Below are 13,287 nucleotides of genomic sequence, written 5' to 3'. Positions count from 1 at the left end.
CACGGCCCGTTAATATTATGACGGGATCAGTATCTTGGAGAGGAAACACATGAAACGACACAAAATCGCATGGAATCACCAGAGAAATGGCTTCTCCCTTCCTCACTCAGTCAAGACCTTTGCTCTGCAGGTGTGACCAGCACCCAGTGAGGCCTTCTCCACCCCCTACCTGCCAGCCGCCACCATGCACACAACCCGCCAGCTATCCCCAAACCCAGACCACAGTGGGCTCCAGGCTGCCAGGGGAGCACAGGGAGAGGAGAATGATCCCACAGACCAGCTCTGTGCTTGGCCTCTTGGAGCCTCAGCCTCCTTCCAGACTGCTCTGGATGACTGTGAGAATGACAGTGAGGTACTGCTCGCAGGATGCCTGGGGCAAGGGTTCATGCCCTGTCTTCCCTACTGCCTGCTGAGCACTCCTCCCCTGATCCTGGGGCCCTCATCAAGTGTCTGCAGGCGGCCCCCAGACCTGCCTTTTGCCATCTGCCCCTCATGCCTCTGCTCCATGCCTGGACCCCACAGAAGAGCCTGGGAGCAGCCTGGTGCTCTGTCCCCATCTGCATGAGGTCTGGAACTAAACTTTCTGTTGCTTTCTAAGGTGGCAACAGGTGAATCTGCCTGCGGATTGGTGGCCCCTGGAACTTATGATCCCTACCTTCCCAGGAGGGCTAAAATCACCCTGGATGTTCTTGGCAATTGAGGAAAAAAGCTAAAGCTTTTATGTCTTGGATAAAAACAACTCACCACCACCAGTATGAAGCTTGCGGACAGGGGTCTGAGCCAGGTTTGACACTTCCTGGGCACACTACCCTGGCTGTCTTGGACTTCAGTGAAATCCCAGCCCACACAAGATGACGAGTCTTCGACCCCTACTGAAACTGTAATGTGCTTTACATATGTAAAGTACTTTTTTTTTTTTTTTGAGGCAGAGTCTCGCTCTGTTGCCCAGGCTGGAGTGCTGTGGCGCAATCTCGAATCACTGCAAGCTCCGCCTCCTGGGTTCAAGCAATTCTCTGCATCAGCCTCCTGAGTAGCTGGGATTGTAAGCACCCGCCACCATGCCCGGCTAATTTTTGTGTTTTTAGTAGAGATGAGGTTTCACCATGTTGGTCAGGCTGGTCTCGAACTCCTGACCTCAGGTGATCTGTCCACCTCAGCCTCCCAAAATGTTGGGATTACAGGTGTGAGCTACCGTGCCCAGCCTGTAAGGTATTTTTAGGGTTTAGTTTGCTTACTGTAGAGGAGATGGCTGCTGTGTTGCAGATGGCATGAATCCAAACCAGGACACCAACACGCAACAGAATCACCGAGAAAGTCCCTAGGCTGCTCCTACCTGGAGCCCTGCTCCTGGGGACGTGGCCGCAATTCTGCTGACCCTCATCATATTCATGTGACCTGTAAACCTCCACCTGCCTCCACTGCTCCATGTGTTGCTGCACATGGAGCAATACCACGTGCCCTGGTGTGTGGTTCCTTCCTTCCCTCCTTCTCCCCTTCTCTCTAAGGGGGTTTGGATGAGGAACTCAGATAACAAACTAGCTCGAAATCCCAGCTGCTGGAAGTTCTCACTCAAAACACAACGGTAGGAAGCATGCTCTACAATAACTTGTTTCAAAGCCATTTGGATGCCACAAGGCAGAGCTTTCCACCCCAGCAGGAGGGCCGGGGCCACCAGTGTGTGGATTTGTTTTCTGCAGGCCTGCAAAGATCTTATCAGGATTGGCATACAAACAGAAAAATGAAGGGCCTGGAGTTGTGTTCTTCCACTAACAGTAATGGGGAACCTCCATGTTGGAGAGCAGGAGACACAGTGACACCCTAAAATCTGTGGCCCCAGCATGGAATCCACAGGTGGACGTGGCCATGGCCACACATCTAGGGACAGCCTGTGGGAAAGGGCAGAGGGCCTGGGGATGGGCTGCTCTTTTTGAGGATTCATTTGCACACTCAGCGAGTCCTCACCTGGGGTTTCATGGGTGGGCGGGCATCTTGCTGGACAGGGCTGACACACGGACTTGACATGGGCCAGGGCTCAAGGAGGTTTAAAGGGAAGAGTGGCTGGACTGGGGTCAGAACAGCCAGGAGCAGGGGGAGGGCAGTCAGAGGCCGGCTGGTCAGTGGCTGCAGAGGTCCGTATCAAGTTGGGCTGGAGTGGTGGGTGGGAGATGTAGGGCTCCAGAGATACTTGGCAGCTAAAGCAGACTAGACTTGGCAACAGACTGGCTATGAGGAGGGAGAGCGCATGCAGTGCTCCGGATGGGCCTTGGCTTCTGTGGGCAGAACCAGACGCTGGTGGTGGCCTTCACAGAGGCAGAGCTCCCTGGAGGAAGGTGGGCACTGAGCAGATGAGGGGTGTGTTTTTGTCACCTTAAGTTCAAGATACCTTGGAGATACCCAAAGGTGCTTGGTGGTGCTGACACGTGAGTCAGGAGAGCAGTGCGGAGAGACAGAAAGTGCGGCATCATCGGAGTCCTGTATGGGATCCCCTAGGGATGGTCACAGTGGGCCATAAGCAAGAAGGAGGCCTCGGATCCAGCCCCTCAGCACTCCAACAAGTAATGGCCATGCTGAGGAGAACAGCCTTTAATGGAACACAGGGAAGGGCTGGGGGTTGGGGGAAAGAAACCAGAAGGCAAAGGAAGAGTGTGTTTAAAACAGGACAGAGTGGTCAATGCAGCAGTGATGTGGAGAGGCCACAAGGACTTCCAATCTCCTGCAGTTAGAAACATATGAGTTGCCATGAAGCAACAGGAGCAATGGCGAATAAAGGGAAGAGCAACCACAAATCAGGTTTGTGTGCTTTTAAAAAAGGGAGGGAGTCTCTCACTATGTTGCCCAAGCTGGGCTTGAACTCCTGGGCTGAAGGGTTCCTCCTGCCTCAGCTGCTCAAGTAGCTGGGACTCTGGCCGTATGCCTCGCAAATGAAATTTTCAGAAGCCAGAAAAGCATGAAATTAGATGAGCCATAATAGTGTTACAACTTTCACAGATATCCCTTCTTACGAGTTTATTTCACAGACCTTGCCTAGAAATAGCATTTCTATTTAGTAAAAGTGGCGTTTTCAGTGCATAAGGAAAGTCCTTATCTTCCAGGGGTTTCCCTCTGAGGGAAGGCCATTTACACTTTGCTGAAGAGCGGAGGGGCTGGAGGGCCAAGGGCCTTCCACTCTGCACTCATGTCCTGATTCCTACAGAGACAGCTTCTGATGGAGGCCAGCAGAGCCCTTTAAAGTAAGCTATTCTCAAAGCCAAAACTCACACTTATTTGAGGGGAAAATGCACATTAACGGAAGGAATTTCTATTGTTCACTATTCACAGGCAATGGTGGCAATCTAAGAAGAAAAAAATTAACTTTTTTAAAATAATAGAGACATAGAAAACATATTACTTACTAATTATAATGCAAGTTTCTTACCGATGAATTCAGATTTTGCACTTAGTTTTTTTCAGGTCAATTTAGAGCTTTTCTACTCTACGAGATAATTCCATGTTTGGATTAGGGTCGACAAAACAAGAGAGATGACATGTGCCAGAAGAAACTTTCAAAACGGCCTCTGCACAGACTCGAATGAGAAGCTCTGCCCCATTTTCTCCTAAGGGCACACATCCTTCATCCAGGAAATGTCAACTAAGAGATGTGACAGGGGACAGACAGGGCCTGTTTCACAGTGCCATTTGCTGTCCTTTCTACCCTCATAAAGACTCCTGACAGCCTCACCCCTCCAAGGGACTGGCTGGGTGGTTTCCACTCACTGCTTCTTGACCAAGGATGGAAACCCCAACTGTAGATGTGACCCTGCCTTCTGTCTGTGGCCTTAGGGTGGGATGTGAAAGCCAAGAGATTATACAAATCTCCACAAAAAAGATTAAAAATATGTCATAAAAGATCTCTAAATGTTTTAATTTGTTTGAAGTTTAATTAAGGGCCATAAAATATACTCCCAAATACCACATGCTCTTTAAATAGCTATTAAGGTTCTGGTCTATTTAAGGAAATGCCACTTTTATGGACACAGGGCAAGAAGCCAAGGGCTCTGATTCATCTCTCTGCTGACACATGCAAGCATCCACTTCCTCATGCCTGTCTGAGCCGTGCAGAGCGCTGTCCCCAGGTCCACCTTCAGGCAGAGGTGGTCCTCACTGGTCCTCCAGCTTCACAAGGACACCACACTGTTAAGCTGCAACCCAGTGCACTCAGAATGAAACCTGCTGGGGATCACAGCCCAGCCTCATGAGGTAAGAGTGAGTTACTAACAAAACCCTGGCTCACGATGCCCCCCTATACTGTGGCAGAGTTTGGGAGCCTGAGTGAGGTGAGTGAGGTTCCTTTTCTGTGTAGTATGGTGGGAGAAGATATAATGTCTGAAAGAGAGTAAAAAAACCATCGAGACTGTTGATTGATATCTCTGGGTAGTGGCTGTTAAACACAGAATGCCCTGGGAGTGATGAATGGGCACCTGCCTGGGGCCGGTGGTGCCTGTGGGGTAACCTGGCCAGGCCCTCTAGCTGCTGATCTAAGGGTGCTGCCCTGGGGACTACAGTGCTTATCTCCTCCCTGAAGCAGGGCCAATCTCTGCTCCAGGTCAGGGGAGGGGAGAGAAGGGAAGGGGAGGGAAGGGGAAGGAAGGGGAAGGAAGGGGAAGGAAGGGGAAGGAAGGGGAAGCAGTACATTTTCAGGGAGAGTCTTGCCTGGCTCATCATGGAGCCCAGGTGTTGGTACTTACATGGTAAAGAGGGAGCAAGAAGGAGGCAGGGCAGGCGGCCGAGGTAGGGCAGGCGGCCGAGGTGGAGCTGGCAGCCTCTGGAGATAAGCCCTGCATGTCTTTGCTCTTGATCTAATACGGACCCTCAATCCTCACTGTGCGCTAGAATCACTGCAAAGATTTTTCGGGTTTTCCTACGCTTGCCCCACCCCAGAGACATTCATTCACGTGGTGTGAACGAGTCAGGGCATAATGTTCTTTAAAGGTACCCAGGTGATCTGAATCCACAGCCAACAGGAAGGCTCACCATTTGAAAAACTGAAGTTAGGTGTTAAGTACAATGGGGTGGTACATCTAAAATGTGACATCGGTGAGTTTATGGTGATATCTACAAAGGCACACCCAGCCTGGCTTGGAAACCACTCGTGAACCTGAGTGCTGGAAAATCAAGGGAGAGGAACAAGCACCTGATAGAACTTTCCAGACCAAACCATAGTCAAGGCAGCTGAACAGCTGACAAAGGGGTTTCTCTGTAAAGAGGAAGCCTAATGAAGGAAGGAGTGACAGAATTACCCAGAATGACTGACCTCGTTATCAGAGGCAGTGACATCACAGAAAGAGGCAGCCAGTCCTGCTGCGAATGGACAGAACTCCACAGCTGAGATGTTTCTGCCAAAAACATGAACTGGAATCAGATCCACCCTCCAGCTCTGCCTACCAGTTTACACCACGGACAACAGGATGGGGAAGGAACCAACAGAATCTGAACTGTGGGTCACTCTGTAGGATGCACAATCAATCCCGTTCCTTCAAAAAGAAACTGAAAGAAAAAAAGATTTATGAACTGAAAGAGACCTAAAAGAGACATACTTCCAAACACAATGTGAGAACCCTATTTGGATCTTAATTCAAGCAAACTGATTATGACACAATGGGAGGAGTGAGCTCTAAGTGTGTGGTGACATTAAGTGGCTGGTGTTTGCTTCCGAATCCTCCAGGTGGGCGTGGGGACAGTGCCCTATGCTGATATCTTGTCGCTAGGGCTATGTACAGGAGGGTTGTTTTACCATTCTCATGACTTTAGTGCATATTTGAAAATTTCCATTAAGAACAAACAAACATGAACTTGATCAACAACAGAAAGACAACCCAGTTGCCCAAACATAAAAATGAGCAAAGGACGTAAATAGAACATTTCCCCAAAGATATACAAATAGCCAACAAGCACATGAGAAGGCTCAACACGGTTAGTCACTAAGGAAATGCAAATCAAAACCACAAGAAGATGACACTTCACAGCCATTAGGATGGCTATTATTTAAAAGAAAAGAAAAACATGGTGAGGATGCAGATACTGGAATCCTTGGACACTGCTGGTGGGAACGGCAAATGATGCCGCTGCTGAGGAAGAGTTTGGCAGTTCCTCAGTAAGTTAAACACAGAGTTAATATACGGCCCAGCAATCCCACTCCTTGTCTATACTTCAAAGAACTGAAAGCAGATGTTCAAACAAATACCTGTACAGGAACGTTCCCAGCAGCACTATTCAAAAAAGCCAAAAGGTGGAAACAACCCAAATGCCCACCAATTGACAAATGAATAAACAAAATATGGTCTATCCATACAATGGATTATTTTTTGGCCATGAAAAGGAACAAAGTACGAATATACGCCACAATATGAGTAAGTATTGAAACATTATGGTAAGTGAAAGTTAGACACAAAAGGCTACATACTGTATGATTCTATTTATATGAAATATCCATAGTCAAATCCAGAGACAGAAAGTAGACGAGTGGTTGCCAAGTGCTAGGGAGGAGAAGGAGCTGACTGATGAATGGGTAGGTGGTTTCCACTTGGGGTGATCTAGTTTTGGAACTAGGTAGTGGTGATGAATACACATTGCAAATGCACTTAATGCTACCGAATTGTATGTTTAAAAATGATCAAATGGTAAATTTTTGTTACATATGTTTTACTCAAATAAAAGAGGCTGCCAGATGTTCTGAAGTACAGTTTATGCCCAGTAACTCTATACACTAGGTGGATCTCATAAACAACTAAATTATCCTGGAGTGTTTACTGAGAAGTTACATTAAAACTCAGATGATGCATGAGCATGGATTCTATGAGAATTTATTACAGCTCTGCTTTAAAAATGTAAAAATAGATATATTTCTTAAAAATAAACAGGCAGCTAAGGGTAGGAGGCAGGGTATCAGTCAGCTTGAAACTGAGTACCTCTGGTATGGCAAAAGGAACCTGATATATGTCATCCTCTGTAAATGGCTATTCCCAAGAAAGGGAAGCCATCCCTGATTCTGTGGGAGAAGCAGCCATATTTAACCACAACTACGTTGCCCCATATGCTCAAAGTAGCAAGCATACTTCTCAGATATAGCTTCAACTATATTGAAGCTTCACAAAAACAAAATCTATAGTATGTTTTGGATTTAATATGCTTTAACTTTTTTTTTTGTTTTTTTTGAAATGGAGTCTCGCTTTGTCGCCCAGGCTGGAGTGCAGTGGCGCGGATCTCAGCTCACCACAAGCTCCGCCTCCCAGGTTCACACCATTCTCCTGCCTCAGCCTCCTGAGCAGCTGGGACTACAAGCGCCCGCCACCACGCCCAGCTAATTTTTTGTATTTTTAGTAAAGATGGAGTTTCACCATGTTAGCCAGGATGGTCTCGATCTCCTGACCTCGTGATCCACCCGCCTCGGCCTCCCAAAGTGCTGGGATTACAGGCGTGAGCCACCATGCCCGGCGCTTTAACTTTTTTTAGTCAAATGAACCTATTTTGAGGGGACAGTTCAGAATAAAATAATTGGTCAGCCAATGTCACCCTAAGAGCTAGGGATTAATGTCCCCATAAACCCCTCCAGAGGGAGACGTTTCATGGAGAAGCACACAGGAATCATGATGTCTGCTTTCTGATAACTCAGGAAACTGCCACCAGGCAGAGATGGGTGTCAGGCAAGAGCCACTGGCTGGGTCACAGCTAACTGATGAACTCTGAGCATGTTGTGAGCAGTTTTATTAGCAGCTTAGGAATGATTACTGTCTTTTCCCACAGATTTAGTTTAGCTTTGGCAGGGGATATTACTCACTAAAATGCAATCTCAACTGAAAAAGACCCTCGTGGAAATCCTCAAGCAAGATCTGCCCTGGTGCATGCTCTGAGGAAGGGACTGGGTGAGGGAGGAAGGGAGGTAACGGTGCAGAATCGTGTCCTCATCCTAACCCCCAAAAGCTTTCCTGGCCTCTTTAGGGGAACTGGATTGTTTGAGGAGAAACTAATTAGGCCTTCCAAAACATCCAGGGGGGCCTTCTTTAATTTACCCTCAGGACAAATGTCACCAATTGTGTCTTCAGGCTCAGAGAGATGAATGTGGTGGAATCTGAGTGGTGTCACCAGCCATGACTTACACAGAAACACTGTTCAGAAGCCTTCTCTGAGAAAGGCCTCTTTAGTTTATGCTAGAACCTTGTGGTTACAGGAAGAAGCTTCAAGGCTGACTCCTCCTCCATTATAAGTCCTTGGAAATTCTTTATACTGATTTGAAAGCCATGTCTCTGTAGATCACTGGAAAAGCAGAGTGGTGTGGCCAAAGTATCCTAGGTTTCAGAGTCCCATGGATCTGCACTTTGATTGTTGGTGGCACTTTGTACTGCCTGTAGGACTGTGGGCACATCGTTTTTAACTTGTATGAGTCTCACTCTTCTCATATGCACAATGGAAAAAATAATGATGAAGATTTAACAAAATGACATCTGTAAGGCCCTCCAGCTGAAGCTCAACACATCCTGTCCTCTTCTCCCCCGATCCCTGCTCTTTGCCCCTGAGATGGTGTTGATTCCACCTTCTACAACACAAAAGTGTGAAACACAAGAGTGTTCCCTTGGCCCCAGGAGAGGCCTCTGAATACCAGAAGACAGCCATGCTGGTTCCTGAGTCCCTTTCTCTAGCCAGTACCCCCAAATTTCAGGAGATCCTGCCATGTGGCCAAAGATGAAGATCTGATGGCTCTGTGAGCAGCCACAGAAAATTCTGTCACAGGGTCTCCAGGATGTGGACTGCAATGTACTGCACTTACATGACTCTGCTTCTCTCTCAAGCTCCAAAGGGGTGACCTTAATCTTGACCAAGTGCTGAATGGTAAACCTGGCACACTCTTCAGGCAAACAAAGGTTTGCTGAATAACATACTGGTGTAAGAAAACTCCATCCAGAAACAAAGTCCAGAGAATTTAAAGAGAAAGAAAAAAACAGGCTTCACTTCTAAAAATGAGGTCTGCTAAAAAAAATATGAAGCAGACAGGATGGGCAAAGTATATATCTGGACTCATTCAAATACTAATATTTGAAAAATATAACTTATATAAAAAAGGATAAGCTACCAAACTGAGACTATAGGATTTTATTAATTTAATACAAAGCAAAAAGATTTAGACCACTGCATCAATGGTGAAACCTTATGCACTTTCTGAATGCATCATTATTGTCTTGGTACTGGTATTTCAGAGGAAGATCACCCACCCAACCTCACCCTCCAAGCACCTGACACCGGCTGAGACAGAACGGGAGCCTAAAAGGACAACTGGTCTTCCCTGGCACAACACTTCCTATTTCTGAAATCACAGGCAGTGCATTTAGTCTGACCTGGGACATCCAGGCCATCTGAGTACAGCAGCCTGGATATGAAATGCACCATGGTCTTGCAGGAGCTTAGGAAGGAAATGATATCAGGAAAGAGATGCTCAATATAGTGTGCTCACCTTACGATGAACTTATTTTATTGCTTACAGAAGGAACTGAAGCATTCTTTTCACTCTGTCGGTGTATTCGTTTCTACACCTACTAGATACTGTTTTGGCAGAGGGAAAATGGCAAAACAACTAAAAAAGGTGCACACCTGTGGCACCACCTTCCTGTACTTCTCTCCAGAGCCCTCAACTCAGTGCTCAATAGTTTACTTACTTTTTCCTTTAGTGCAATAAATGATGAAGGGAACCATAAAACACTTTACTTTGGACCAAATATAACAAGATACCACCACTGGAAGAAAGTGACGACAGGACCGTCACCAGGACCCCAGAGAAGAGCTGGTGTTCAAGCAGAGCGCCCTGCGTGGCACTTCACTCCTGACCCCATGCTTATTTTTTTGGGTTTTGTTTTACATACGAGTTGGTTACCAGCTTTTCTTGCTGTTTCCTTGGTATTAAAACACAGTAGGGTAGGGTACAGCCAGATAAAGAGTGTTGAGGACCCTATGGAGGGACACAATGGCAGCAGAAGTACAGAGGCCACGTGAAACGCAACTTCTATGCAGTACAGTAAATGAGTGTTTTTAATCACAAACTGGAGTGTTGAAAAGGTTAAATTATTCCCTGGAAATGGCAGAATTTTAAAAGGCCTGGAAATAATAATATGTTTCAGAAATAATCTTGAAAGTTCTTTGAGGCTGGGGGTGGTGGCACACCTGTAATTCCAGCACTTTGGGAGGCCGAGATGGGTGAATTACCTGAGGTCAGGAGTTCGAGACCAGCCTGATCAACATGGTGAAACTCTGTCTCAACTAAAAATACAAAAATTAGCTGGGCGTGGTGGCAGACGCCTGTAATCCCAGCTACTCAGGAGGCTGATGCAGGAGAATCGCTTGAACCCGGGAAGCAGAGGTTGCAGTGAGCCAATGCACTCCAGCCTGGGTGACAGAGTGAGACCCTGTCTCAAAAACAAAAAACAACAACAAAAAAAAAAAACCACAGAAAGTTCTTTGAGGGCAAAGGTCATACTCTAGACTGCATTCTGTTCCTCCTTGTATTTAACTACCTCTCTGGTTGTGCACAACAAGTGTCAAATATGTATTTCATGACTGGTTTAGAGCATTGAAAGAAAAATTTCCACAAGTTTAGATGCCTAAAGGAGAGAGCTAGCATTGCAAAGATGCATCCGCTGACAGTTCCCTGCAGGAGCTATAAACCCAAAGAATCACTCTGTCACTTGACACCCAAGGCCAAGAGCAGAATCTTGCCTTACTTGATAACTTGAGGTCTAACATCTAGCCAAAGAAGATCAAAGCCTTTTTTTAATCCGTATTTTCTCTGGGCCAGGCTTGGTGGCTCACACCTGTAATCCCAGCACTTTGAGAGGCCAAGGGGGTTCTCAAACTATAGACTGCTTGAGGCCAAGAGTTCGAGACCAGCCTGGCCAACATGGTGAAACCCTGTCTCTATTAAAAATGCAAAAAAATTAGCCAGACGTGGTGGTGCATGCCTGTTGATCCCAGCTTCTTGGGAGGCTGAGGCACGAGAATTGCTTGAAACTGGGAGGCAGAGGTTCCAGTGAGCTGATATCACGCCACTGCACTCCAGCCTGGGAGACAGAGCAAGATTCTGTCTGAAAAAGAGAAAAAAAAATTATTTTCTCTGAAGAGTATTGAGATAAAAAGTGTGGATCCCCAAATCCTTTCCTTTGCAATCCATGAAAATGTCTCTTAAACAAATCTGCTCTTCTTCCTCTGTCTTTTCTGGAGCAGCTGTCATTGACCCTGATGAAATATCTCTTCCTTGGAGAAGACATGTCCTCTTCCTTTCCCCTCAGTCCCTCTCTGGTATTATGGGGCATCTTGTATGTGTCAGTGTGACCAGGCTGTTTTCAAGGTGCTCTTAAATCCTTCACTCTATCACATGCAACCTTCCCAACTTAAGTCCACAGGCCAAAAAGTTCACCTCAATCCATACCTCACATCGTATTGGGAAATGAACTCAAAATGAAGTACAGACCAAAATGTATAAAAAATTATACTTTCAGGAGAAAATCGTTGTGATCTTGGGTTATGCAAACATTTTTTATTTACAACACAAACACATGTATGCTTCATAAAAGAAAAAATGTATAAATTGCATGTTATTAAAATTAAGAATTTCTGGCCAGGCGCTGTGGCTCATGCCTGTAATCTTAGTACTTTGGGAGGCTGAGGCAGGCAGATCACTTGAGCCCAGGAGTTTGATACCAGCCTGGGCAACATGATGAAACCCTATCTACAAAAACACAAAAGTTAGCCAGGTGTGGTTGTGCATGCCTGTAGTCTCAGCTACTTTGGAGGCTGAGGTGGGAGGGTCGATTGAGCCCAGGAGTTCAAGGCTGCAGTGAGCTATGATTGCACCACTGCACTCCAGCCTGGGTGACAGAGTGAGACCCTGTCTCAAAAAATCCCTCAAAACAAAAAATACAAAGAAGATATACGGTGGCAAATAAGCATGTGGAAAGATGCTTAACACCATTAGTTATCAGGCAACTGCAAAATTAAAACCAGGAAACAGCACTACACGTTCCGAATGTCTAGAGGCTGACCACATGGTCTTGGCAAGGATATGAAGGACTAGAATTCTCCTTCACTGCTGGTGGTAAAGTGACAGGGTAGAGCCAGTCTGGAAGACAGTTGGGCAGCTTCTGAAAATGTTCAACCTATACCTACCACATGATCCAGCAGCTAGTCCACTTTTCAGATGTCCTTATGCATATGCAATGGACTGAATATTCCTGTTTCCCCAAATTCTTATGTTGAAATCCTAATCCCCAATGTGATAATATAGGGAGGTGGGGTTCTTTGGGAAGTAATGCGGTCATGAGGGTGGAGTCCCCATGAACGGGATTAGTGTGCTTTTAAAAGGGACCCCAGACAGCTCTCTCATTCTCTTTATGTCTACCATGTGAAGACACAAGATGGCAGTCTGCAACCTGGAAGATGCCCTCACAAGAATCCCACCATGCTGGCATCCTGATCTCAGACTTCCAGCCTCTAGGCCTGTGAGAAATAAATTTCTGTTGTTTATAAGCCACCCAGGCTATGGTACTTTGTTACAGTAGTCCAAACTGACTAAGACACCATATGAACACCTGCACGTGAACGTTCATAGGAGTTTTGCTTACAATAAGCAATAACTGGAAACAACCCAAATGTCCATCAGCAGCTGAATGGCTTAATAATTGTGGTAAACCCAAAAAATGGACTAACACTCAGGGAAAAAAAGGAAATGAGCTACGGTTACACACAATGACATGAATGAATCTCAATGTGCTAAGTGAAAGGAGCCAGAACTCCCCTAAAATTGTACACACTATGATTCTATTTATATAAAACTATAACAAATACAAACAATATACAGCAACAGCAGATCAGTGGCTGTGTGGGGATGGGAAATGTGGGGGAGAAGCAGGATGACGGCAGTACAAAGGGGCACGAGGAAATGTTCATGGTGATGGTTTGTCTATCATGTGGTGATAGCTTTCACAGGTGTATATATGTGACATATATGTATATGTATGTCAAAAGTTATCAAGTTGTAAACTTTATACGCAATTTATTATGTCAACTATACCTCAATGCAACTATTAAAAAAAAGGAAGCCCAAGGCCACAAACACATTTAGGTACCACACAGGCTCTCTCTGTTTTAGAGCTTTTTAACTGAATGTAGTACAGGTATAAACCATGGCAGAACTGGATACAGTCCAGGCACAGTCCAAGGGACCCTGGTCAAAAGCTGATGTCTGATGGAAGATATCCTGGGTGGACGCTA

At 46.1% G+C, this 13,287-nt stretch overlaps 1 protein-coding gene and 2 long non-coding RNA genes across 6 annotated transcripts in view, besides 1 other annotated feature; 1 reads left to right on the top strand and 2 right to left on the bottom strand.

The window, feature by feature from the left end:
* The window catches only part of SPECC1L-ADORA2A (SPECC1L-ADORA2A readthrough (NMD candidate)), a 171,544-nt gene that overhangs the window by 35,600 nt on the left and 122,657 nt on the right, over window positions 1-13,287 (bottom strand).
* The window catches only part of SPECC1L (sperm antigen with calponin homology and coiled-coil domains 1 like), a 146,908-nt gene that overhangs the window by 10,978 nt on the left and 122,643 nt on the right, over window positions 1-13,287 (bottom strand). The gene's annotated exons all lie outside the window — the stretch shown is intronic.
* On the top strand, window positions 4,102-12,547 carry LOC105372960 (uncharacterized). Its single transcript, XR_938082.3, has 2 exons — window positions 4,102-4,236; window positions 12,425-12,547. It is a non-coding gene; the product is annotated as an uncharacterized LOC105372960 (long non-coding RNA).
* Window positions 5,265-5,324: an enhancer, noted in NCBI's record as "active region_18769". NCBI's record gives its function as "activates an Ori minimal core promoter by ATAC-STARR-seq in GM12878 lymphoblastoid cells {active_cell/tissue: GM12878}" and the evidence as "EXISTENCE:reporter gene assay evidence [ECO:0000049][PMID:35858748]".

This window comes from Homo sapiens, chromosome 22, assembly GCF_000001405.40.
Source record: "Homo sapiens chromosome 22, GRCh38.p14 Primary Assembly".
Taxonomy (NCBI): Eukaryota; Metazoa; Chordata; class Mammalia; order Primates; family Hominidae; genus Homo; species Homo sapiens.
The sequence above is the reverse complement of the archived record's forward strand: the minus strand, read 5'-3'. Positions and strand labels throughout refer to the sequence as shown.